The 27,085-nt window shown below is 38.3% G+C and overlaps 1 protein-coding gene, 1 long non-coding RNA gene and 1 pseudogene across 12 annotated transcripts in view; 1 reads left to right on the top strand and 2 right to left on the bottom strand.

Moving 5' to 3' along the window:
• LOC107984215 (uncharacterized) overlaps positions 1-10,660 on the top strand; it is a 99,856-nt gene extending 89,196 nt beyond the window's left edge. Inside the window, exon 3 of the long non-coding RNA XR_001747394.2 lies at positions 10,266-10,660. This is a non-coding gene — a long non-coding RNA (uncharacterized LOC107984215). The remainder of the gene's footprint in view (positions 1-10,265) is intronic.
• Positions 1-27,085, bottom strand: part of ARMC3 (armadillo repeat containing 3) — a 110,471-nt gene that overhangs the window by 32,440 nt on the left and 50,946 nt on the right. For 10 of the 11 annotated variants that reach the window (NM_173081.5, NM_001282745.2, XM_005252380.4 and 7 more), the window contains 5 exons: positions 24,592-24,744; positions 24,384-24,489; positions 7,687-7,936; positions 4,029-4,165; positions 2,670-2,838 (listed from right to left, as the gene is read on the bottom strand). In NM_173081.5, the coding sequence (NP_775104.2) occupies positions 2,670-2,838; positions 4,029-4,165; positions 7,687-7,936; positions 24,384-24,489; positions 24,592-24,744 (815 nt within the window). Of the gene's footprint in view, positions 1-2,669; positions 2,839-4,028; positions 4,166-7,686; positions 7,937-10,042; positions 10,132-24,383; positions 24,490-24,591; positions 24,745-27,085 lie in introns of those variants that run through there. The other variant, XM_011519351.3, reaches the window with a different exon arrangement.
• On the bottom strand, positions 8,726-8,829 carry RNA5SP304 (RNA, 5S ribosomal pseudogene 304; annotated as a pseudogene).

Raw genomic sequence — 27,085 nt, 5'->3', positions numbered from 1 at the left:
CCCCAGCCCCAGATTTGCCCGGGACTAAGGTCCTCACCTGCTGCAAGTTTTGGCTTGGAAATGATCACCCTCTCAGTGATACCCACCTGACTGCAACTTCTAAAATTGCAACCGCCCACCTCAGGGCTCCCCAGCATTTCAGAGCCCCTCACCCTCCCTCTGCCCAGCTCTCTTCTCCCTCCATGGCACCTCTCATTTCTTTTTTTTTTCCCCCTTTTTTGAGATGGAGTCTAGCTCTGTTGCCCAGGCTGGAGTACAATGGTGCCATCTCGGCTCACTACAACCTCTGCCTCCCAGGTTCAAGTGATTCTCCTGCCTCAGCCTCTCGAGTAGTTGGGATTACAGGTGCGTGCCACCATGCCCAGCTAATTCTTGTATTTTTAGTAGAGACAGGGTTTCGCCATGTTGGTCAGCTGGTCTCCAACTCCTAACCTCAGGTGATCCACCCGCCTCGGCCTCCCAAAGTGCTGGGATTACAGGCGTGTGCCACCGCACCAAGCCAGTGCCTCTCATTTTTACCCTGGGATATCATTTATTTCAGTATCATGTTTGGTGTTTATTCTCTGTCCTCCAGCACTGGTACCATGGAAGCGGAGACCTTGGTCTCCTTTGTTCACTGACGTATTCACAGCCTCCAATATCCGAAACTTATAACAATATTTACTGAATGAATCAGAGCATCCCCCTTTAAAAAAGAAATTGTCTCGTTAAATGTTTTAAAACTTCATGACCAAACACGTTTTGTCACAATTTTATCTGATCTATGGCAAGGTTTTCCTGGTAAGTGTTCTGCGATCGTTTTTCGGCTTTTCCCGTCAGTTTTCTTGTTTGTTTTCCCCCCTTGGTTTGGTTTTTTTTTTTTTTTTTTTTTTGAGACGAGTCTAGCTCTGTCGCCCAGGCTGGAGTGCAGTGGTATGATCTCGGCTCACCACAAGCTCTGCCTTCCGGGTTCACGCCATTCTCCTGCCTCAGCCTCCGGAGTAGCTGGGACTACAGGCACCCGCCACCACGCCCGGCTAATTTTTTGTATATTTAGTAGAGATGGGGTTCCACCGTGTTAGCCAGGATGGTCTCGATCTGACCTCGTGATCCGCCCACCTCGGCCTCCCAAAGTGCTGGGATTACAGGCGTGAGCCACCACGCCCGGCCCCCCTCTTGGTTTTCTTAAAACAGCTTTGTCCTGATGCTGCAACATTCTCTTTAAATTATCATAATTGAAGGAGATGGGCTTCCTGGGAGCAATTTCTCAGTGGTTTGTGTGTGTTATGGAGTACGGCAGTGGTGGCAGGAGGTGGGGGAGGCAGAAGGGAGAGTAAGAGTCAAGTTTTAGGCAAGCTGTTTTGAATTATTCAAATTTTCTCTAGTTCTCCACTACCACGATGGAGTGCTTCCTGCAACCGGGGCTCAGTGATGTGACTTATGGCCCTGTCTCCTCTGCTTCTTGGAACCAAATTGGTCCAAGAAGGCTTCTGCTGTCAGCCTCACTCCCCGTGTCCTGAGTTCTTGCACCTGCCTAGCAAACCACATCTACAAGTTTTGCACTTCTGAGTTTTCCCATGACCTCAGGAAGGATACAGTGTTAGTGGTGCTTGCTTTCTGAGCTCTGCCATCTTTAGCCCTCTTGCTCCTGTCTGTGATTTTTTTTTTCCTTTTCCTTTTTCTTCCTGCACAGCTTCTGCCTGATCTTGGCAGCTTTTGGCAACCCTTAAAATTGTTTGAAGTCTGCAGATCATATCTGCTTCCTAGTTTTGCTTAAAATGGGATTTGTGGGTTTTTAACATTTTCCCCATTCTCCTCATTGCTTTTGGTTTCCAGAAGAAGTAGAAAATACTGACTAAATCAGTCATGTAAAAAGTGTCCTTAATATTTTAATTTCTAGCTTTTCACTTCTCTCAACATTCATGTAATACAGATAATAGAGCCCCCAAATTTTAAATGCTACTTTTTTTTTTTAAAAGACAGGTTGGAGGGCAGTGGTGTGATCATAGCTCACTACATCCTCGAACTCTGGGCTCAAGCCATCCTCCTAACTCAGCCTCCTGAGTAGATCAGACTACAGATGCATGCCACCATACCCAGCTAATTTTTTAAAGTTCTTTTATAGAGACAGGGTCTCACTATGTTCCCCAGGCTGATCTTGAACTCCTGCCTCAAGTGATTCTCCTACCTCAGACTCCCAAAGTTCTGGGATTACAGGCATGAGCTGTGTCACCTGCTCCTTCTTTTATACCTTTTTTTTTTTGACAGGGTCTTGCTATGCTGCCTGGGGTGGAGTGCAATGTCTATTCACAGGCACAACCATAGTGCACTCTAGCCTCAAACTCCTGGGCTCTTGGTCTCAAGCAATCCTCCTGCTTCAGCCTCCTGAATAGCTGGGACTACAGATATGCATCACCAGGCCCACCCAGCTCTTCTTTTGTATCTTATCTGAAACTTAAGACTGCCTCTAGCAAGCTGATTTAATTACAAGTAAGCAGATTCTAGTTAAAACTGAACAAAAAATGCAAAATCTTATAACTAAAGTTAAGAATGAAGTGCTGATTTTCAAGTTTCTGCCTGTAAAAATATAAATTACATTAGGTGATGATGAAATGGCAATGTAATGGCATCAGGATTAAAGAAAAATTATTATTGTACATACTAAACTACAAATAAATGCTGTCACTTACCCGACCATAATCATAGAATCCATCGTTAATTATGTTACTTGATGACAAATAGCCAGTCTGGCTGTATTTCAGGGAAAGATTGTTATTGAGCAACTTATTATAAGCTGCCTCACTGAATTTATTTTTCCGAGTTCCTGATACGTTAACTTCTTCAAGGATATCTAAAGCCCTGTCAATAAAAGCAAAAAGCATTATTTGCTTTATACAAGCCATCCAATACTGAGTCTCCACTTATATACCGACTTCAGATCCTGAAGGAAGAATGGAGATGGAGCTTAAAGCCTCCCCCACCCTCTTAGATAAAGTAATACTGATAGAATTATGAAGACAAATCTGCCCTTCTTAAGGATACATATGCCAAGTAGTAACTCATGTTCAAACAGGGGAAAAGGATGCTTTTGGGGGAAAAAGTTCTTTGTTCATCTAAAAACAAAATTAGTATTGGACCTCAACTTTTTCATCTAACTAGACAATATATGCAAAGAAGCCAAATGTTTAGAAATTAATAAATGAAACCTGTCTATAGAAACTTAAAACCTGGGGCTAGATGTGATGGCTTATGCCTGTAATTCTAGCACTTTGGGAGGCTGAGGCGGGCAGATCACTTGAGGTCAGGAGTTCGAGACCAGCCTGGCCAACACGGCAAAACCTTGTTTGTATTAAAAATACAAAAAAGTAATCCCAGCTACTCAGAAGGCTGAGACAGGAGAATTGCGAACCCAGGGGGCAGAGGTTGCAGTGAGCTGAGATTGCACCACTGCACTTTAGCCTGGGCAACAGAGCGAGACTCTGCCAAAAAAAAAAAGAAAGAAAAAAAGAAAAGAAAGAAAAAGAAAGAAAGAAAGAAAGAAAGAAAGAAAGAAAGAGAAAAGAAATGAAACTTAAAACCCTATTAGCTGATGTGTTAAAGGCAACAAACTCATCTGCTTTTGGTCAACAGAACTGATTGGTGAGGGTGGTGAAATGCGGAATTCTGGTGAAAGTTTTAGATGGGTGGGAAAGAAATAGAGGTGATAGACACAGCTCGCCCATTTAATTTTAGCCTTGAAAGTTGAGAGACAAATAGAATTTGTTTGGCAGTAGCAGAAGAAAGTAAAAGAGAAGCATTTATCAAGATAAAGGGGTTAGAAGAAAATACTGAAGGTGATTTTTTCAAGGGCAGTGAGGGAGCGGTGAATCGGGACCCCCTTGCCTCCAGGTGGTTCCTTCCAAGCCAAGGCCCGCCCTGGGGACATGCAGCGCTTCAGCGGACTGAGAGAGCAGCGGAGACTTGGCTTGAAATTCCTTGGGCCTAAAGAGTGTGCCTCTCCGTCTTCTGCTCTTCATCTGAGCCAGAAACTTGAGATGGCATCCACTCACCCGAGCCTGCATAATTCATTGGCCGTCAGCTCGTCACCAGCACAGACCATCACTGCCCAACTGGCGTGCTTCCTCACTTCATCATTCTTGGAGCGTAGCAGCTCTACCAGGGGCTCCAATCCACCAGAATTTCTTAACTAAAAGCAGAAACCAAAATGTTACACATTAAGAGTGTAGAATGTAACTATTTGTGCTTTTAAAAAAATCTCATTATTTGATTGCTAAAAGGTTTTAACTATGTAAAAATGCTTCAGAATGTGTCTATCTTTAGGTTTATTAAATTCAGGGGTGAAAAATCTATTGCAAACCCTTACACAGAGAAGCCCGGTTTTCGGGCCCTGGGAAAGTATCCCAGGGAGGTCATCCTGATTTTACGTGGGACGGGGACTGCAGCAGGAGTCTGTCTTCTCACTGCCCACCCGTGGGATGCCCGATGCTTATTCACTCTGCTCCTGAACACTGACTATTCATTCAGCTCAGTGATAGACAGAGTAAGGGGCCCCCAAAGATATCCTCATCCCTGGAAGGGACTCTGCAGAGATGATTAAGGGTCTTGAGATGGGGAGGTTATCCTGGATTAGCCAGGAGGGTTCAGTGTAATCACAAGGATCTTTATAAGAGGGGGACAGAAGGTGCTGGAAGCAGAAAAAAGACACGTGATGGAAGCAGAGGTTGCAGTGATGCACTTTGAAGATCCAAGGAGGGTCACAAGCCAAGCAATGTGGGAAGCCCCTGGAAGCTGAAAGGGCAAGGACATAAGACACAGCTTCAGACTTCTGACCTCCCCAACCATATGATATTCGATTTACATGGCTTTAAGCCAAGTGATGGTCATTTGTTACAGTGGCAATAGGAAGTTAACACAGTCCCTAAGATTGAGGCTGGATGAACCGATGCCAGCAAGGACCCCCCCATGTCACTGTGCACGGCCACCAAGTCAGCACTGCAGCCAAAGCAACACTCAAGCAATTCTCCAGAGAAAGACCCATCTTTGCTATCTATACACAGTGTCTTCTCTTCATTTCTCAAAGGACTGAAGAGGAGAAGAAAAAGAAAAGAATTGGATAGAACTTCATTAATTACATTATTAAAAGACATCACTCGTGTATAAAATTATTCCAATCAGAAAAAAAAAAGATTGGGCAGAGTTCTTGTCTCATGTCTGAAATGTAATGCTGCATTATCTATGCAACTGGAGGATAAAAAGAATGTTCTTATTCTACCAGCTTGAATGTGTAGTATCCTAAGACAGGATCCCTGTGGAATCTCTTCCACTTTCAGTCACTCTCATCACAAACACAGGGGCCCTGGTGGGGCTTACCTGTTATCACACATTACTTGGACAGCTTAGAAAGTTCACTTGAAGCATCCTTATGCTTAGCAAGCATAAGGTATAATATGAGATAGTAATCTAACACCACATGTCCTTTAGGCAAAGATTTAATTTATTCATTAATTCCTCCATTTATTTGTTCACTCATTCATTTAACAAATGTTCATTCAGCATATATTATGTGCCAGGTATATATTAATGACATGGACACAGGGATGAAAAATCTCAGTTCCCTTCCCTAAAGTCTCAAGGAGCTTGTAGTCTTTTACACAGAACCAAAAAATTCAAAAAAGGAAGACAAGGGGTGCAATGGGAGCATAGAGAAAGATGTACCCTAGTTTGAAAACTAAAGTAAAGGCCTTCTGGGGGACAGGAGGGTAGAGCTGGATTTTGAAGAACTAATAGGAATTTATCAGGTGGGGGAAAAGGGAGAAAGCAGAGAAATCAAGCAGGTATAGCTGTGAGAGCAGAGCATTCTGACATAATTACAAGCAGTGTGGCATTTCTGGAGTGTAGAGTTCCACCTGGACAGAGTTGGAGCTTACAGCTTTAGGTAGGCAGGTGCAGGTCAGGAGGGCCCCTGCAGATGTTGCTGAGCAGCTTAACGTTCCCATTGAGGATGTGCAATGATGTGACCAGGGCCACACGTTAGAAAGACAAGCCTGGAGCCAGTAAGGGGAATAGGAGGGGAGGGAAAAAAGTAAAGGGTCTCCTGCATATTCCAGGAACTAGGTGGGCTTCCCTGCAGGCTGCATGGAGGTACAAACAGGACCCTTGTTTGTCACTGTGCTCCTGATACCCAGCAGAGCACCTGGCACGCAGTACTTGGTAAATACATATCTGGTGCCTACCGCTACCTGAGTGGGTGAGCACAAATGAAGTGAGTCAATGGGAACAAACAAGGGAGACAGAATAGAGATCAAGGAGACAGAAGAAAAAGATTAGGCAGTTGTTTGGGCAGACAGCATGGGCCCAAGCATGTGAAACTTGGGCTCTGGACCCAGATGTGTTCTCATATCCCTGACTCGCCACTTACCAAGTCTGCTTTGAGCATATTTCTTTAAGCCTCATTTTCCTCATCTGTAATATGTGGATTACAAACATACCTATCTCAAATGAGGCTTAAATGCATGTAAAGTGCTTAGCACTGGCACATAGTAGGTGCCAAATAAACGTTGGTTTTGTTATTTTTATGGGACAGAGAAGAACAAAGTCCCAGGCTGTTCAAATGAGTGCCATGGTGACATGAAAATGTGAGAAAACTGAGAAAAATAAAAGGATGTTTGTTGATTTAAGTCCAGTTGTATTTTTATTCTTTTAGGAGGCAGAGTCTTTTTGTAGAGATGCGGATCTCCCTATGTTGCCCAGGCTGGCCTCGAACTCCTGGCCTCAAGCAATCCGCCTGCCTCCACCTCGCAAAGTGCAGGGATAACAAGTGTGAGCCACTGCACCTGGCCTAAATAAAGTTTTTCTGAAGATTTAATAGGATCACCATAAATTATCAAGGACATTTTTATATAATAGATTTTCAGATAAATGCAATTGTATGTTTTAAAAATAAGAAATATAAGAGAAACACAAGAGTACATATAATAACCCACATGTATAATTTAAAGAGTCCTAGTAAAAAGCACACCTGTTTGTCTACTATCCAGCTTAAGAGATGACCATTTCAATGACACCGAACCCCTAGGTGTTCCACCCAATTACATGCCCCCCTTTCTCCCTACAGAAGCAACCGCTTTCTTGAATTTCGGATTCAGCATTCCCTCAATTTTCTTTATAGTTTTAACTTATATGTATGCATGCCAAAACAGCATAGTGCTTAGCTTTGCATACTTTTGAACGTTACATAAATGGAATCATAAGTATGTATTTTTCTACAACGTGTTTTTGCTTGGCATAATGCTTGTGAACTCATCGCTGTTGACATGTGGGGCTGTAGCTCATTCATTTTCACTGACATGAGATTCTATTTTATGGCTACAGCACGATGCATTATCTATTTTCTTAACAATTGGACAATTTGTTTGTTTTAGATATTATTTGTTTAGATATTATAAACAATGCTTCCTGGTACACAGAGGCAACAGATTCTCTTAGGTATATACTTAGAAACAGAATTGCTGGGTTTATAGGGCATGCTCACCTTCTTTGCTAATTAAACAAACAAGACAAGACAATGCCAATTCGTTTTCCACTGTTTTACCGGTTTTGAAGGACTTAAATGACAGGTAGGTTCAATCACTTAAAAATGTTTCCAATGAATCCACCAGTAGGTACTAACCAGAAAAATGAGAGAACACATGTTATTAAAATTCTCACCTCAGTCCGGGCTTCAACGTCACACGCAGTTGCGGTGACAGCGAGAGCAGCTTTGCTCTGCACGACTGTGTTTGCAGAACGCAGTGGGCTGATGATGGCATGCATGATGTCGTGATTCTGTATGTTCAGGCGCAGGGGCTCCTGCATGGCCATGTTTGTTAATACTGTAGCAGCGTTGGCAATGGCTCCATCTCGTTTACTAGACAGGAGGTTTATTAATGGATCAATACCATCAGCTTCAGCAGCAGCGCTGAGTAAATGAAAGAGAAATGAATGTGATTCATCTGAATTCAAAAAATTATCTTTGGAGCATGCAACTAAGCTGCTAAAACAAATGAGTACAGAAATACGATTTTAGAAATAAATTAATTTGCCATGCAATGAACCCAGAATTGAGTGCTAGTGATTTAAATGGAGTCTGGGAAATTTTGAGCTATGAATGAATTTAAATAATTCTTTTTCTACTTGTACAGCTTTTGGTTATAGAAAAATATATCATTACTACTTTTTAGAAACCTCAGAAATAGACGACTACTACTTCTTAAAAAAAAGGTACAACCATTATTATTATTATTTTTATTTACTTGTAAGACCAGGAAATTCTATTTAAAGAAACTCTTGTGTGATTTCATACATGAACCATAAAATTCTTAGAAAGTTTTCTTGAAGATAAAATATTCCTAGCTATTAAGAAAACAAAAGCCTTAAATAGTAGGAATGAGTGAGCATGGGAACTCCTGATTTAAGTTAAAATTCATTAGCCTGTCTTCCTCTTCTTCAAATTAGGTTGTTAATTGTAGGCAAAGATGAACAGGTTTGAAAGCAGCAAATCATTCTGCATGTGAATACTGCTTTTACAAATTAAACATTAAAGATCAAAGTCATGATATGTATATAAATAGATAATTTTAGTAATGTAGGCATATTCAGTTATTAAATTTCCTGTCTCTAGTAAAAGACTACAGTTACCATTAATATACTAACATTTTTTCACAATTAGATAGCCTAAATCTTCTTTTAAGAGCACAGAATAGTCCTTGTTTTTGAGCACCCGGTTTTCCCGGGCAGTCTCCCATCCAAGTTCTAGCCAGTCCCCACCCTGCTTAGCTTCCAAGATGAAGCCAGGGTGGAAGGGCTCCAGACACCAGCTGTCCTTATTTTTAAATCAGTTTAAAGCTCATAGGTAGTAAAAATAAAAATTAGAGCATTTTAATGAGTGGAAGATACTTTAGTTATGTTCTTCAATGTTTGGAATTGCTATAAATAGGAGATGTTCCAAGCAATAAGATAAAGAGAGCATCCTGATTTTAAAGGGAGACCCAAAATTCTGTTTTCAAAATCCATTTAAATCATCATAGTAATAGAAGTCAAGACAAGAAAAATACTTGAGATGTCAATAATATGAACATCTAAGTTTTTGACACATTTTTTCATTTAGGACTATATAATAATAACCAAAATTAAAAAAAAAAACAACTGAAGCTATATGATTCAGCCCATCATCCTGTATGGTGATGAATTAAATTTAATTTGGTACTGTCACTTCAATTTGCTTATTGTGAAGGAGGACTCACAACCTCAAGAAAAGAAGTTATGACAATTATCCATCAGAGAGGAGGTAAATGAAATCTCCATAAAGAGACTGGTAGCCATAGGTGTAAGCAGGCTGTGACTGGGGCACCAGCTCTGAAAGAAACTGAACCACAGTGACTGGGCAGGAACGTAATGAAGAGGGACAGCAGCTCTGGAGAATGAAGGGCTCAGTTGGTGTCACCCTCGCAGGACCACCTCCCACCCTGGCTTATATAAACCAGTCCATCAAACACACCACATCCCACAAAGGCAGAGCCTTGCTTCGTTTCTACTCATTCTCCAGTCCTTGTACATTTAACCCTTCTGTGGTATCTCCCATTCTTTCTCTAGGATGACGTCCCTTAAAATTAAAATTTGGTTAGATGACATGTAACCAAAATTGACCTCTACAAAAATATCCAAAGGCCCTATATCACTCACTATAATAGCCCGAGGGTCAGCATTTAATTTCCTTTCCTAGGGGATAAAATAAGCATTCTTAAGATAATTTCACTTTTCATCTTCTCTCCTATTATTAATTGGCATGGCGTTCATTAGGTTTTATGAAAGAGGGAGAAGTTGGAGGTTCTAATATATTAGTTTATCAGAAACATCTCATATTTTTGCAATGGAAATACTGAATACCTTTTACAACTGCCAGCAAAAATGTTAAATTATACATATTTTCTAATTAATAATATATACTTAACCTCCTTAAAAATTAGTTTTTTCCTTTGACTTATTTTTGAGGTATTTAATGCAATCAGCCCCTTAAACCAAATACCTTGTATTTGTTAATCATTATAAATATGCTTGGCCAAAATGCATGATTCCTTTGTCACTTGGTGGTTTTCCCTCGAGAATGTTCACTTTTTAAAACATCCTGTAGAGTTAAGAAAGAGCATACAATCGCAGGGTACTTCAATGGCATCCAGGATAGAAACAGAAGTATTTTAAGTAAATGCAAACAATAAATTCTCAAATACTTTGTCTTTTGTGTGTACCAGGGAGTTTTTGGAAAACTAAAGGAGTTCGCAGGGTCATACATCATCTTTTTCTTTCATCTTGAAAACTAAGAAACGAAGAAAAATTGGATCATGGAAATACAGGAATTTACATCAGGTATATCCGAACAGTCAGCCTTTCTGCTTTGATTTTGTTTCTTTCTTTCTCCTCTACAAAGGCATATTTTGACTTGGTTCATTTATATCTCTACCTTCTGCTCTTTTCTTTGCTCTTGATGGAGACAGTAAAGGGAAATGCATAAAAAACTAGGTGTTTAAAAAACCAAAGATTCTAGTACACAGTGGAATATAGCTTTTACTAAATTGAACATAAATGCCAGCACAGAAAGATGAGTCGTGCAGGCACAGCTGGCACAACCTGCATTATATGTACATATTTGCCCGTAATTTGCTATATGCAGCACTAAGTCTAAAAAGAATAATTGAGATTAACTTATTATGGTGGTAAATTAAACTATTATTCTTACCTTAAAAAAACTAATTTTATATACAGAAGTAGAGCCCAGAACTTGTACTTTAAAAAACAAAAAAGAATTGAACAAAATTCTTTTTTGAAACAAAATTGTTTGTTTAAAAAACAAAAAAGAATTGAATTAATTCTGTTTATTTCAAACCTCAGACATTCTGTTGTATTTTTCCCTGTACACAAGCTGAAGCCTGTCATATTTTTAAAGCCATTATTTTGGTTTCCCAAATAGTATAGCATTATCCAAATGAATGGGATGGAAGTCAAACTGCTTTGTTTTAAAATCCAGAATTATAGGGCCATATGTCATCACAATAATTTGAAAATATTTTCTGATATTTACTATCATTAGTCTCCATCCAGTTGGAGTTTAATCAAGTAAGAGTTTAAAATGTAAATTGGGAAAAAAACAAACTAAAAAACAAATATGGGAATGTATGAAAACATCTGTTTATATCATTTGATATATGTAAACAGAGGTGAAGCTTGACATGTCATGTGACGTCAATCTATTAGCAAGTCCTGACTATTTTCCTCCTCCATATTTCTCAAATCTCTCCCTTCTCTCCATCCTCCCACAGAATCCAATTCAGCATCCTCTCTTGTGGGTTGATATAAATAATCTCCTAAGAGGTCTCTCCTCACCCCCTCCAGTCCTTCCTCCGTCTTACAGCTAAAGTGATGTTTTAAAATTATAATCATATTGCTCCCCTACTTAAAACTTTCACGGTTTCCCATTGCTTAGGATAAAGTTCCCAATTTTTTCTTTTTCTTTTTTGTTATATTTTTAAATTATTTTTCTAGAGATGGAGTCTTGCTACGTTGCCCAGGCTAGTCCCAAACTTCTGGCCTCAAGCAATCCTGCCACCTCGGCCTCCCAAAGTGCTGGAATTACAGGAGTGAGCCGCCATGCCTGGCCTACCCCCAAATTTCTGACATGGCCTCCAAGGCCTTACACAAGCGGCCCCCACTTCTCACGCCAGCCCCATGCACCCCCAGCCCCTCGCCGCCTCTTCCTGTTGCTCCGTGCTCTAAGCTTCTCTTGCAGCCTTCAATATGCCAGGCTCTTTCCCACATCAGGGCTCCCCTGCGCTCTTCCCATTTCCTGACATCCTCTTCCCCCAGGACAATGCCCAGCCCTCTTTCACAGCTCAGCACAAATGTCTTTTCCTCAAGGAGGCACTTCTGGATCCCCAAAGGAGATTTCTTTTTAACATGAGCTCAGAGCATTTGTGTGCTAAATATACACATTTCTTTTTGTTTAAAAATATGATGTTCTGGCATAAATGTTTACATCAGAAAAAAGTAACAATTTAAAAATGTTATTTTGCAGCACTCATGAATGGAATTCAGCAGATTTTTCATTCAAATGCCCAAGCCCCACAATAAAAGAGCACTTACAGAAAGGATGCTAAGAACATCACTGAGGAAAAATTCAAACACAAATAGCGTCTATGGCTCACTAAAAATATTGTGCGATTTCATGTCTGTGTCTTTGCACTTGTGGTCCCTTTGTCCCAAACACCCTTCCCTATCCCTCTGGCACTTGTGGCTGGAGAACACTAGCTCATTCTTCACTCTCTGCTTACCTGTCCCTTCCTCTGCAAAGTCATCTGTGACCATCACGGCCCTCCTTGTTAATCACTCCCTCTGCTGTGCTATGTCTGTACCTGGTACTTACCTCTTAGAGGTAATATTTGAGTCTTATTTATATTTCCGGTGCTGAGAAGATCAATGTATTTTAATTGACTCGAATCAACTCAAGGTGAGTGAGCAGAAATTCGCTGCAGGTATCAAGAAGAAGGGAGGGGGAAAGTGCTTAGCTCAGCTTTAAGTTTGCAAGAAGGGATAGGATCCAGCAACACTGCGATTTCCAGTTTTATCACTTACAGCTGCTCTTGAAATTGGTTCATTTCCTCCCTGCCCTCATGCTTCTCCAATTATACAGTGAGGTAATTTTTAGATGGTATTCAAGAAATAAAATTTTACACTTTAGACAACTTCTTGGGAATATATTCTTCTCTTTTATCAAGGGATGTCTCTATTTTGTCTTTGCAGACATTGTTGACTCTGTTTATTTTAGTGTGCACCAGTTGACACCATTTGGTACCTTTCAGAGTTGAATCCTTGCTTCAATTTGAGGTTCACATTCAACCCAACTGCAAAGTCTAGTAACATGAATCAAGGGTGACCTTGGGCAGAACAGAAATCTGTTTAACAGAGCCCACATACAGGGTAATATGTGGAACCCGATGGAACAGATGGTGATATTGGCAATAAGAACCTTGTTTGTTAACAGTGATTACAACCATTCCCACCAGCATGACTTTTCATGTCTCCGTGAGTTTTGTCACACCAAGGAAGACATATTGGCGGCAGACACTCTGCAAGTGGTCAGGGGCGGTGTGTACGCAGCAGCAACTCAGAGCTGGCATTTTTAAGCCTTGCCGGCTGCAGGAAGTCTGAACAGGTGGAACACTGGCCGTTATGATAAACAGGTCTCCTGGTTATCACAGCCAGATTTGGAATGCTGTAAACAGAATTCCTGACTCTTGTTCCAGCCAGTTTCTCAACAAAGGTAATGATCCAAGAAGTGGAGTGTGTTTGCTAAATTGGTCAATTTCTGAGTCCAGAACAAGGATCATCCCGCCACAGCCCCACAGCTACAGGACGCTAGTATATGTGCCCCTAAACTCTGGCTGAACTCCAGGTTGACAAAACTAGCCAAGAGAATGTTCTTCTTTTAAAGAAATATTATTTAAGAAGTTTTTCACAATTAAGGGAGACAACCAATTAATTGTAGGCTTATGCTTAAAATGAAGGTTTTAAAATTAACATAATTAAAGTAAAGCCTAGCCACAGGGAAAAAAATGTGTTTGCATCTATAGCAAAATAAGAAAAATGCCCCCCGCAAAATGCTAGGAAATATGTGAAACCGAATTGATTACATCATATTGATGCACCTTAGCAGGTTTCATTTTGAGACTTTCAGAATTCTCTTTGATGTTGCAGCCGCGGTGACATTATGCTCTCTCAAAGAGAACAGCATGACTGCAAAGAGAATAGTGAGTGCTACCCCAGCACTTCCACAAAGAGCATGCATGTTTTTGCTACCGATTTTGAGGCAGTCAATCAAAGTCTGGGGAAATCAAATGTAATTTCCTCCCAAGTGACACAGAGCCTTTATTGACCTATCTGTTCAATCACAATACTTCACTTCCATACATGCTACCTTGTTTCAAATGCTAGAATGCCCTACTCATAATTAACTACCTGCCATCAGCAAAAAACAACTCTCTTTTGCATGGCTGACTTGTCTCCTAATAAAATAGAAATGATGGTCAAGGAGTTAGGATATTCATAATAAATGACTTTTGCAGCTACCAAATGTTTCTGTTTAGCCTGGAAATCAGCGTATTTACATATCTGTCAATGACAAGGGATACAATCCCAAAGTAATTAGAGATACCATGTTGTTGATTTTCTTAACTAAATAATAAGGATGCTGAATGCTCTAGTGCCACAGCAAACAAAAAAAAATCCCTGCGCTTGCCAGGACTGGTTTATTCTCAGCAGCTCAGATGTCACTTTTTCAGAGAGCCCTTCCTTAACAAGCCCTGTATCATTCTCTAGGCCCCTTCCTAACCCCGGGGCCATGGCCCTCTTTCCACATTGTGCTGTTTGAAGTTTACCTATACTGTAACAATTCTGCAATTACCATTTTAAAATTACTTGTGTACTGCTGGCCTCCCTGACTGAAATGTAGGCCTGATGTGTTCCTTTCCTGTGGTACCCCAAGAGCCTAGCACAGTGCCCAGCAGGTAAAGGATACCCAGATAATGGTAGAATCATTACCAAAAAAAAAACCTAAAACAAAACAAAAAAGAAAAAACAAAAAAAAACCTACAGTCAAGGTGGTAAGTTCCCTGTATTTTGGGGTGAAATGATAACAGCTGTACCGACGGATCACATCCGGCCCCCAGTGGAAGAAGCTGGATTCCAGACTCCCTGTGATACTGGCTAGGGGGTAATCTCTTACATGCACAAAATACAGTAGATTATATAGATTCATTTTTACTTGTTTGTTTCATAGTCAAAAAAGACAGGATGCAGAGAGACTAAAACTTGCTCAAAGGTAAGTTAATCAACAGAGACCGGAAAAACAAACACATGGTTTTCTGACCTTTAATTTATTAGTTTTTACATTTTTCAACCTCTTAAGCTTTAAAAAGTATAGTATTTTCAGGAAAACAAAAACCAAAAGAATTTACTTGCTTTAGGACATCATTCCTTAGGGAATGGAAAATGAGAAGGAGGAGGAGGCAGAGGAAGCAGAGAGGAGGAGGCAGAGGAAGCAGAGAGGGGGAGAAGGGAGACTAGGGAAAGGAACCCGGGGAAAAAGGTGGAGGGAGGGTCAGAAGCAAAGAGAAAGGGAAAGGAAGGGATGAAAGATGATTTCAAGGTGCCTACTGGAGTGAGTACAAGGAGTGCTGGAGGAATTCAAAGAGATCATGAATTTCAGCACAAGGGAAATTTCTGGTGGGGAAAATGTGGAGAAGTTAAGGGTCCTGGAGGCACTGATGAGGAAAGAATGAGAGAAAAGTTGCCGGGGTGGAGAGTAAGAGGTTCAGCTCCTACCAGCTCCCTGGGGACCTACAGAACAGACCACCTCTGTGACTGTGAGTAAGCACCGGGCCTTGGTTTCCTCATCTGCAAAATGGGCATGACAATAATATTCCTTCCCCCATAGGACTGCTCTGGGATTTAATGATATATTCCACTCAAGGACTTAGCTTAATACCTGGCCGATAACTGCTAGCTTTCAACAACATCATCATCCTCTTAACATTCAGTGAGCCACAAGGGTAGAGAGTTTCAGATCATGGAAACGTAAGATCATATTGTAAAACTTGTGTGTGTGCATGAAAATTTCATTTTCAGACAATTTTTAGCTAAACAGCAAAATCTCCTACACCTGCAGAGCTAGAGCTGGGGCAGTTTCCTCAGAAATCCTACTCAAGCCTTTCACTCAAGTGTAATCAATGAGTGGTAAGGACCATTTCCAGTGTGAAGAAAAATCAAGAGAAATGATTAACATAAAAAGTCAAGGGTTGGTAAAAATAACCTTATATAGGTTTAAGTATGCTTCAAATTGGAAGTGGGGGGGGGAAATCACACAATATAAAGATTTCCTCTGAAAATCAGTAATGTTGGAAATTAAACCTGAAAGAGAGTACTAGCAACTTTAAAACGAGGTTATGCAAATATCAGTCTCTGCACTGTAGGTAATAAAAGTAGCATGGATAATTTTCTAATTGAACATTTTATGGGATTCACTTGGCCTCACAAAATCAGTAGCTAATCAAATTCAAACTGTTAGTCAAGGTCAGGTGGGCATCCACTGACATGAAATGGGGATAGGGAATCCACTTGTTCTATTGCAAAATTCAGCTTTTCATTCTCTGTTTTCCAAATTCAGTATGATTTTTCCAATCCAGTATAACCAATGTTTAGAATAAGATTCCATCAGACAGGGAGGAATCTAGGCTCTAAGGGGCAGAAAGAAAAGCATCCACTCAGTAAACTTGGACAGAAATAATGCAAGAATAATTCTCAGGTTTACCATGAGGACTTTTCCCATTTATTTTATCTATTAATTCCAGAGGACTTTTAAGGCATTAATTAACATGTTAAATACATTCTTCCAGAGCTCATCCTTAATACAAAACAAAACCTCCTAAAAACTTATGAAATTAGCTATCTTGCAAGATACTCATCTTGTGAGTATTCTAATTCAAAGGATCTAGAATTTTACAACAAAGTGATATAAATAAGAATGTAAAACAAAATCTATTATACAAAGTCAAGAGCAAAAAATCGACTCTAGAGAAACCATAATAGCAATGAGATTTCTTAGATTATGTTGTTCAAGAGTATTACATTTATCCTATCTGGTTATATAGCACAGAAGATGTCCAGCTACCGGTACAATGAATGCGTCAAAACATTTGTAAATGACTACACCTTAATAGGGGACAAAGTCAAACACAAGCATCTGTTAAACACACGTTTAGCAGTAGAATATTATCTCTAAAAGCAGCATGTTGAAATGATTTTCAGATCGGAATCTTTTAAAAATGTTTTGGAAATATTATCTTAGATACACTGGAGAGTGTTCCAAATTAAATTAACGTACGTTTCATTAAACTACAGAACCATCCTTCCATTACCTTTTTTGCCCCTCCCCCAACGTCCTCCTAATCGGCCACTAGGGGTCAGTATGAAGACGCAGTTCCTTGCATTGTTAGAAAATGGAACTCTCCGAAAATGAAAAACCCTATGCAACAAAGACAATAGCTGTACAACCTTAGCAATATTAAATGCAACCTATACATCAAGTCTACAACACGAACTTGCATTTTTCATGGGACTACGTTTTAATTTTGTAAATCACTGTGGATTATCTCTATGGTCAATGCTTCTTTAGTAAAAAGTATTCTCAATGACAGGATTACTTATGTAAGTGGGTCTGTGTAACTGGCCAAGAAGTGTGTTCTAAGAATAGGGTGTTAACATTTATTTTTCAAAGGGTGATGGGACACATGTCTAGCCATTTCATCTCTTCCTGTACAGGGATGGAGAAGGAAAAGTGGAACTTGTGGTTTGTATTTTGCTAACTTTAAGAGATTTTTCCCCCCTTCAAAATGACCATCATCATTCACTGCACTCAGCCTTCATTCCACTATGAAATATAGGCAATTCTAAGGAGAAACCATTAGCCTAAAATCAATAGAATAAAAGAAATGGTAACAATAAATACACAATACATTATCTTCCCACCAACTTTACTGAATGGGAGAGAAATTTTTCAAAAGGTTTGAAAAGTGCTTTCTATTTCTGCTGGAGAAACTTAACATTCCAGGAAATCATTAAGATCATGCCCCTCCCTGACAATACTGAAATGATTGATAAAGGACTTTGGTCACTGTGAGTAAATGCAGCACTGATTTTTGTTGAAGCACTAGATGAAGTATTGACTTTTCTTGAAACACTGTGTGAAGTTCTGTATGTGGCATACGTTCTAAAGTTTTCTCTACAAATTGCATGGCATTCTCAGGCATGATACTCCATGAATAATTCTAATAAGTATTAAAATTAGTCAATGCTTTATTTCTATATTAGCGAAAAGAATGTTTAATACTGATAATACAAAATGACAAGTTATCCATATATAACGAGGACATTCTAAGCTTCCCAAAGCACTCAAATGCACATCCATATAATTTGGGGGCATTCTATCTGTTTGTGGAGTCCCTTTGGAGTGTACTGCTTACAATTTCATCATTCCCTTGTGCGGTCCTGACCATAGGGAACACAACAGCAAGACAGTTTCTGGGGAAGAGCTTTTTGTCTCTGGTATTGTAGAAGCTGGCAATGGGCCAGTAATCAATCAATTAATTTTTCAGTCACCACTATATGTGCTAACATTTAGAACTTTCTTGGGTCACTGCTGTCATGGAAAGTCAAAAGGGGTACAAAAAATAAAAAATAAAAAGCAAAGAAATGGTAATAAAAGGGTCTCTAAGATTTAGGTAAATCACTCAGTTCTTCATGGGGATGACATGGAATAATTATGAAGAATCAGAGTTAGTGTGATCTATGTGTAAACAAGGGACTTATGATCATGCATTTACTGTAACAAAACTTCAGTTCTCACTTCTCTATAGTTATTAAAATAATTGTAGTTATTACTGTGTATATTTTTATTTTGTTCATTGCATTTTATTTCCTAAGATAATTGCATCTTTTGAAAACTGTCTAGCCAACATTTATACTAATCTTTATTAGTTCTGAACATTTATTCTAATCTTTTCATAGTTTACCAGTGGCCAAATTTAGTTAGCATTGCCAAAGGGAAGTGAAAAACACTGAACCCTTTTTCTTCTTGGAACAACTTAAACTCTAATTCTGATCAGATCCAACAGATGGCAGTGATGTTATAAAGTAATAGTTTAAAACATTCTTTTAATGTGTAGGGTCTGCTCCTCAGAGAATAAGTCTCTCAGTACTTGCATAAATAATATGGAACTTTGATATGATTAATTGGATAGAAGCATACAGGATAAATGTAACATGAAATTTAGCTGAAAACAATATTTCCTATGTCAAAAATAAACGGTTTTCTCGTTTTCAAAAGGCATTACAAATTGTTAACTGTAAAAGAGATTAGCAGTATACCAAGAAAAGATATGTGTCCAAACAACTACATTTTTCTATAAAATTCATTATTGCTTCTTGGTTTCCATTTTTATTTGTTCCTTTCTACAGGCATTGTTTTAGCCTTCACACCTTTTATTTATTCACTTAAAAATAGTTTTACTTTGCTTTCTCCTTCTTTCACTGCTAATAAGTGAATCTGGCTGTTCTTGTCCCCTTTTACTATGCCTTTATAAAAATAGTTATTTTTATTCTTATTCATTGCCTTTTCATATTTGTACCCACTTTAAGTTATCTTTATTCTGTAGATAATAATTAGAAGTATCAATAGGAGGCTCTTATAGGGAAGCCTCCACTGTTGCTTCTGTTTTCCAAGTTATATAAAAACAAAGAAAACAACACTGATGATTGCTTTCTGTTTTAAGTAATGGCCATTATTGATTGTTTGACAACAGACTTTGTTTGTCAAATAGACTTTGTTTTCATCACTTTTCTTTTACTTTTGGGTTTTTTGTTTTGTTTTGTTTTGTTTTGGGTTTGTTTTTTTTTTTTTTGTTTTTTTTTTTGAGATGGAGTCTCACTCTGTTGCCCAAGCTGGAGTGAAGTGGCGCGATCTTGGCTCACTGCAACCTCTGCCTACAGGGTTCAAGCAATTCTCATGCCTCAGCCTCCCATGTAGCTGGGATTACAGATATGCACCACCATTCCTGGCTAATTTTTGTATTTTTAGTAGAGATGGGGTTTTGCCATGTTGGCCATGCTGGTCTCGAACCCCTGACCTCAAGTAATCCACCCGCCTTGGCCTCCCAAAGTGCTGGGATTACAGATGTGAACCACCTTTGCCCGGCCATTTTTTGGTTGTATTTTTGATGTAAGCCTATTTTCCTTCGAATGCCTACTATGGGATGGACAGTGTTCTAGATGCTTGGGATGCATCAGTGAATTAAATAGATGAAGGCTGCTCCCTTCATGGATGCTAGTGGTTGGTGTGTGGCGCGGGGGGGGGGCGTGCAGTGCAGGGGTGTGGGGGTGCAGAAAATAAATGATGATAAGTGTACCAGGTGAGTTACATGCTATGTTAGAAAATGATAAGGGTATGTGAAAAGGGCAGCAGGGAAGGAGCGTTGAAAATATGCATGTGTGGAGTGCAATCTTAAGCCGTGTGGTAATGCTAAGTAGCTTCGCCAAGGTGACATTGTAACAGAGATGTAAACGGGGTGAGGGAGAGAACCACAGCCTGCATGGGAAGAGGTTTTCCAGGCAAGAGGGTGTCACTACAATGACCTAAGGCAAAATACTCCCGGAAGCGGAATTTACTTCCAGGATATATTTTATGTCTATTTTACTCTACAACATTAGCCCATTTGTAAGTAAAAGGATTCATGTTTGTTAATAATTTTTAACTACCATCCATATCCACGTATCCATAACTCAAATACCTGGAAATTTCACATAACCACAACATACACGAGAATTATCTGTGGGGGTAGGGAATGGCCTCTGAGAAGCAAAAATTATGTACATACCAAAGAGGCATCAGGCCCTCCTGTATGGCTTTTGTGTACAATTTGATAAAGCTGGGTTACCTGGAATCCAAGCTTTTCATGGACAGAAAGGAAGGATTTGAAAGGAACTCTGACAGGGAGGAAGTTAGAGCTCTGCCAATCAGATCCACTGATAGCAGTGAAAATGAAAAACTGACAGCTCTCAGAAGCTTGATAAGGAATCAACAAAATGCATCGAAGGTCAAAGGAGCTGCCCCCCTGAATTTATACCCAGTGAGTGGGACAAGTAGCCCCCCTTCCCCAAGGGGCACTGAGAACACCTCCGAGGGTCACATGGCAGTCATTTAGTCAAAATGGCAACCATAACTTTCCCCACCAAAGTTTAATAACAGCATAATCAGTTCAAAAGGCTGAGAGGGAGCTCACTGCAGAGGCTCAAACCTGTAATCCCAGCACTTTGGGAGGCCAAGGTAGGAGGATTGCTTGAGCTCAGGAGTTTGAGAGACCAGCCTGGGCAACATGGTAAGACCCCATCTCTAAAAAAAAAAAAAAAAAAAAAAAAAAAATGAAAAATTAACTGGGTGGGATGGTGCATGCCTGTAATCTCAGCTACCTGAAAGGCTGAGGCAGGAGGATCGCTTGAGCTCAGGAGGTTTAGGCTGCAGTGAGCTACGATTGTACCATTGCACTTCAGCCTGGGCAATAAAGTGACACCCTGTCTAAAAAAAAAACAGAAGGTTGAGAAGGAAAGATTTTAGAAGATTTTAATTCAAATTTATCGCAAATTTTTAAAAGTTTTTTTGGATTAAAAAAGTAAATTTTTAAAAATCCACTAAACTTGAGTATCTAAGAAACCTCATTCATGAATACCAAATGGGTAAGATCTTTTGGCATCAATTAAGGTGATGATCAGATTACTTCAATAAAGTTGAAAATCTTCTACATAGGGCTATGAATGGTCTGATTATTTATTTATGATTGCTACTAAAATTGCTCATCATCATACTATTTTATTATATTTGAGTGTGTTTTTTTGTTATGAGAAAGCAAGATGTGTGAAAATCTGAAATCAGATACATTAGACTATAAATTAATTTACATAAAGATTATAAAATTCTATTTTTAGATTACAAAAAGATTTTAATTAAAAAAAGCATTTGTTAGTTTTACAAAAAGCGTTACCACAAGTACATTTCTCCTTCCCTGTGTTGATTATTTAATTTAGAAAATTTTGATCTACCCACAATTTTCCAAGCAAAAACCTATTACATAAAGGAAATTGCACCAACATTATATGTTACCATGACAACACCAGCGATTACTCAATGCATGAAATGAGCCTCCAATTCCAGAAGATGCCCTGAGTTTAATAATTAGAGTTTAAAAATTCACTTTAGGCACATTAAGATATGCGTGTAGGAGAAGGGTTACGTTTTAACTACACGAAATTAGTATTTGCAACACTTATGTGCATTTTTAAAAATTAGGATAGCAATGATCAGATATTCAAACATCTATCAAATGCACCTGGAGGAAGTTAACTCTGGGCTTTTGTCTCCTATGCTACTTATGTATGACAGAAAAATAATTAGAAAACCTTGATTCCAACCACCCCAGCAGCAAAGCCACGATGCTTCCTGGGGAAATGATTGAATGGACCGCTACTAAAAGTGATGCCAGAAATACTCACCAATGCTGAGTTTAAGCTAACAATTTTTAAAAGACGATCTGAGTAGAAAATTATGTTATTAACAATAACCAATCACATTTGTAGTCACTTCTGTTATATTTGGCATTACTAATTAAACTCAAGGAGGCTTCTAGAAGGACTATGTGGTTTATTCGTGTTCATTCCTTTTGATTGACTCCAGAATCTTTTGCAACCTCAGTCTTCAGCATTTGGCATAAATCTGTCAAATTTGATTCCATATCCTCCTCAAAAGCATTCATCTTCAATATTTTTTAGCTCAGAAAATCCCAAGTAAAAATTATATAGACCTCAAGGAATATTCAGAAAGCCACTTTCATTCATGTTCCATTTCCCTTACAAAATACAAAATTTAAAAAAAACAGAATGGACAGTATATAATAGGTTAAAGAAATAACTGCAATTAAAAACTTACAAGAATAAAATTATATTATGTAACTAAAGTTGACTGTAGTAGAGAAGTCGGGCATCATTTAGTCCTGACTGACCTTTCTATGGTAACAAAATGGAACTAGGAGTCAGATGACAAAAATCTGTAAAATAGATAATTAAACTGAGAAAGATAATCTGAAGGAAGTCCCTTTTAGAACTACTTACCATCCTAATTTTCTATGATTTTATGTAAAATAAAGCAAAAAATGTAGGCCAGGCAAATTCACATCAAATCAAGACACCTATACACTCTGGAGGCCTGTTAAAAGTATTCTAGATCATATACAAATGTAAATGGACTGGAGCGAGAAATGGTTTAGTGTCTCTGATAAGATTTTTTTTTGCACCATGTGACCATACTGGAAAAACCACTGAATATGCTATTTTCAAACTGCTACTTAGAAGGACTCAATATTCCAGAAATTTGCATGCTTTCATAGAGATAATGATGACCCTTAATTTAGGAAATTACTGTGTCAAAGATTGTAGCTATTAAAGGAACACAGTTTTGTTTTGACACTTAATGCATTCCTCTTATGTTTTTATCAGGCAGTTAGATTTGTAGTCATTGCATTAGGATCTTATAATTTGTGTGGGAGAATAGAAAGGGAAAGAAAGGCTAAGAACTATTAAGTATGTGATGGAGGCAGAGGGAGATTTAGTTCAAGTTAGAAAAAGGGTAATTTTAGCCATGATATCACAAAGCAATAATAAATGAAAGCTAACTAACATACCAAATGAGATGGAGGCAGGGCAAATAATTATTTTATTTATGGAAGCTGCCTTCAATAAATTCTTACTGTCTTATAAGGCAGTCTTAATCTCCTGTAGAGGAAAGAACACAGACTTTGGAGTCTGACAGACCTGCATCGATTTCCAGCTCAGCTATTTCGATAAAAATGTGTACCTGGGAAAATTAAGTAAGCTTGAAAAGTCTCAGTTTCCTCAACTGCTGGCAGATTATTTTGATAATTTTTAAAATGAGTATAAATTACACACCAGAGTGCTTGGGATATAGAAGGCATTCCTATTCCTTAACTTTTCTTCACAGTATTTGCCCATAATATGCTTTGGTTTGTTTGTTTGTTTGTTTGAAGCGGAGCCTCGCTCTGTTGCACCCAGGCTGGAGTGCAATGGCACGAGCTCGGCTCACTGCAACCTCCACCTCCGGGGTTCAAGCGATTCAGCTGCCTCAGCCTCCTGACTAGCTGGGATTACAGGCGCATGCCACCACGCCCAGCTATTTTTTTGTATTTTTAGTATAGATGGGGCTTCACCATGTTGGTAAGGCTAGTCTCGAACTCCTGACCTCAAATGATCCACCCACCTTAGCCTCCCAAAGTGCTGAGATTACAGGTGGGAGCCACTGACCTTTTAAATGTTTCTATATTATCTAATGTTTATACCCTTTTAAGATGGATCTTTAAGCATTTTTCCAGATTTATCAAATGCTCATCCGATCTTGTCTTTAACATTTCCAGCATTATTCAGTCTTATTTGCAGAAGCTTCTACAAGAGTCCTCTTGGTCCCTGAAATCAAATGGCCTGCACATTTTCCCAACAAACTCAGAAACAGTAAAGATTTTGTAATATTTTTGGAAAACAGACCCATCTGATGATTCTGTTTCATAAGGGATTCTGAAGAATAACCCCAAGATAGACCATCTGAAGAAATTCATAGACTATCGTGAAAGTCAATATACTAACAGGAGAACATCTTGGACTGTGAATTGTCCCACAAGTCAGTGCTGGGTGAGGATCTCTGAACTTACTTTGCATTAGCAGGGTTGCAAGTGGTTAGGTTTGCCAGGGCTAGAGCTGCTGCTTCCCGTACCTCTTCATTGTCACTTTTTAGCAACTGAATTAACTGTGGAATCCCTACAGAAAGAGAAAGGTAAAAATGTGACTTTTAAAATGCCCATGTGCACTAAAATACGGTAACCTAAAAATGCTCAAAAGAATTGTTTCCAGTTGACTTACCCTGATTATTGAAAAAATCTTTGCTGCCTGAATTCTCACACATTGCTGAAATAGCTTGGGAAGCAGCAATTTTAGTTCCATCATTTTCAGAACCCAAAAGGGCTACAAGGCACTTTTCAACCTCTTGTTCATGAAAAAGTTTTCTATTTTCAGCTTTCATACACCAAAGGGAAAAAAATTCAGAATTTTAATGCAAAAACTGCGAAGTATTACTACTTTCCCATCCAAAGTCTAATAGGAATTCAAACAATTTGGTAGTTTTAGTACCAGAGTCTAAACTAGACAAAATCTACAACTATTTAACTTTAGAATACAGTAATTATGCAAAATGAATCATGGATGTTTTTTCCTATTCCCTTGTATGAGATCAATACTACGGCCAAGGAAAGTCTGTACTAGGAAAAAGGCAAGTTTTTGGATTTAGCAAGCACTGATTTAACACCTGTCATGCACCTGACCTGGTATTCAGTGTTCACAGGCTATTTGTTCACTAAGGACAAAATCCAGTTTATCTGATGGTTCTTTTAAATATAAAACCCAATATTGGAAGAATGCCTAAGATGTGCAAACTGGTGAGCTAGATGCTTACGACCTTCAGGAGAAGAGCAGAGGAGAGGAGAAAGTAAAAATGAGTTGTAAAGTATGATCCTGAGTCTTAAGAAATTTATAGTCTTATATCAAAATATAATCATTTTTTTCTCAAATGACAATACATACTTAAGTAGCAAAAATTAAAATAATTATTTAATTAAATAAAGTTATGTCTAAGTACATACCATTATATTCATCCCATTTAAAACACTAACTTTGAAACCAAAGTATTTTTAATGTTCTTTTGTTCCCTAAACATTGTTTTCTCTTGGCTTCATTTGATTTTTTTATAAATGACAATCTCATTACTATACTAACGTAAATACTGCATTAAGCTAAATGAGAACATTAAAATAATTTTTTGTTTTGTGTTCTATTAATTCTATTTTTTATGTTCTAGCTAATTCTAAAGAAGTTCCTCTTTATTAAAGTATGTTCTAGAAAAAATATATTAAATTAAACTGTTTTGATGAAATAAAGATGTACCAGGGACTGGTATAAAATGAAACAACCTACAAATAATTCCTTACTAAATAATTTGGTTCCTTCAAAAAATTGTCATAGATTATTTATTAACACCCTTTGTAAAGTTTATAAAATTAGCCTTTATAAATTCTATTTTTGTGATTAAAATGGAAGAATGTGTGATATGCACTCAAGATATATAAGAGAAGAATATTCTATTAGAATAAGAATTTTTGCAAAAAAATGCTGATAATAATTTAGGTTACAATATTTACATGTGGAACTCATTCATTACTTATACACATGTTAATTAACTTGTTTTTTTCAGAAATATTTTCAGAAATTAACATCAGCTAGGTTTCCGTTGTAAAGTTATGATTTCTCCCTTCCTTCAACGATGACTCAAAAAAAATCGTCCTTTTTCGCAGAAGCAGTATCACGTTTAGATGGCACCATATTTGCAAATACTTTTGGCCTTTGTTCACCTGATACACAGATATATATTAAATAATCTGGCCACAACTGGCACAGGCTAAGTTATTAACGCTCCTGCTCATTCATTTTAAACCAATCATGAACCATGTCCTGTAATCCTATCATTTTAATCTCTTGTTCCTTTCATTTACCATTAGAATTCAGGCAGGCCATAACTTTTTTTCATAAAAAAGCTTCAGTTAATACTTAACTCTAAAGTATGTGGCTCCGAAAATGTTTTAAATATACACGGTTCTTATTATTTTTCACTGAATAAGTAATATCCAAAACTTTTCCAGAGTCTCTGACCTAAAATGCTTAGATTTCTCATTAAGATTTCCCTGATGGCTCTAAACCAAATTTTCTAAACAGAACCCTCTTAGCATGGATTCTATCAGGAAAATTGGCCAAAATGATTAATTTGAAAAAACGAACTTTGGAGTATGTAGATGTTGCATTCAGAAAACAGTACATTTACAATTCTTGAAAAGATTTTTAAAAATAATTTAAATAGATACTGAGGGCAATTAGTTTCTCAACCTTGCTGGGACTGTTCTCAAAATGCAGCTGTGTTCACTAAACCTTAAAAGTGCTGACTGCAGCATGGCTATAATAGATTTAAAAGATGAATTAACATATTAACCAAATACTTTCCTTGAATTGCTACACCAAGGAGTATTTGTGTTTTAATTACACAGATCATAAAGATGGCAAGATAGTTATGCTACTAATAGCATAATGTCCTTTAAAAATAACATTTGTTCAGTACCCCTAAAATAAAAAGCATGACGTTTTCTTACTGGAAACAAATCTGTATGTAATGATGCTTTCCTTCATCCATTCTCAGAAGTTGCTATTGTGCCACTTTTGCTCCTGCTGAGATGTTAATGCCAGTTCATAAACCTCATGGCAACATGGTAATTAACACCTTCCTCCTACTGGTACCAGGTCAAAGGCATATTGA

Source organism: Homo sapiens, chromosome 10, assembly GCF_000001405.40.
Source record: "Homo sapiens chromosome 10, GRCh38.p14 Primary Assembly".
Taxonomy (NCBI): Eukaryota; Metazoa; Chordata; class Mammalia; order Primates; family Hominidae; genus Homo; species Homo sapiens.
This window is presented reverse-complemented; position numbering and strand designations above follow the sequence as displayed.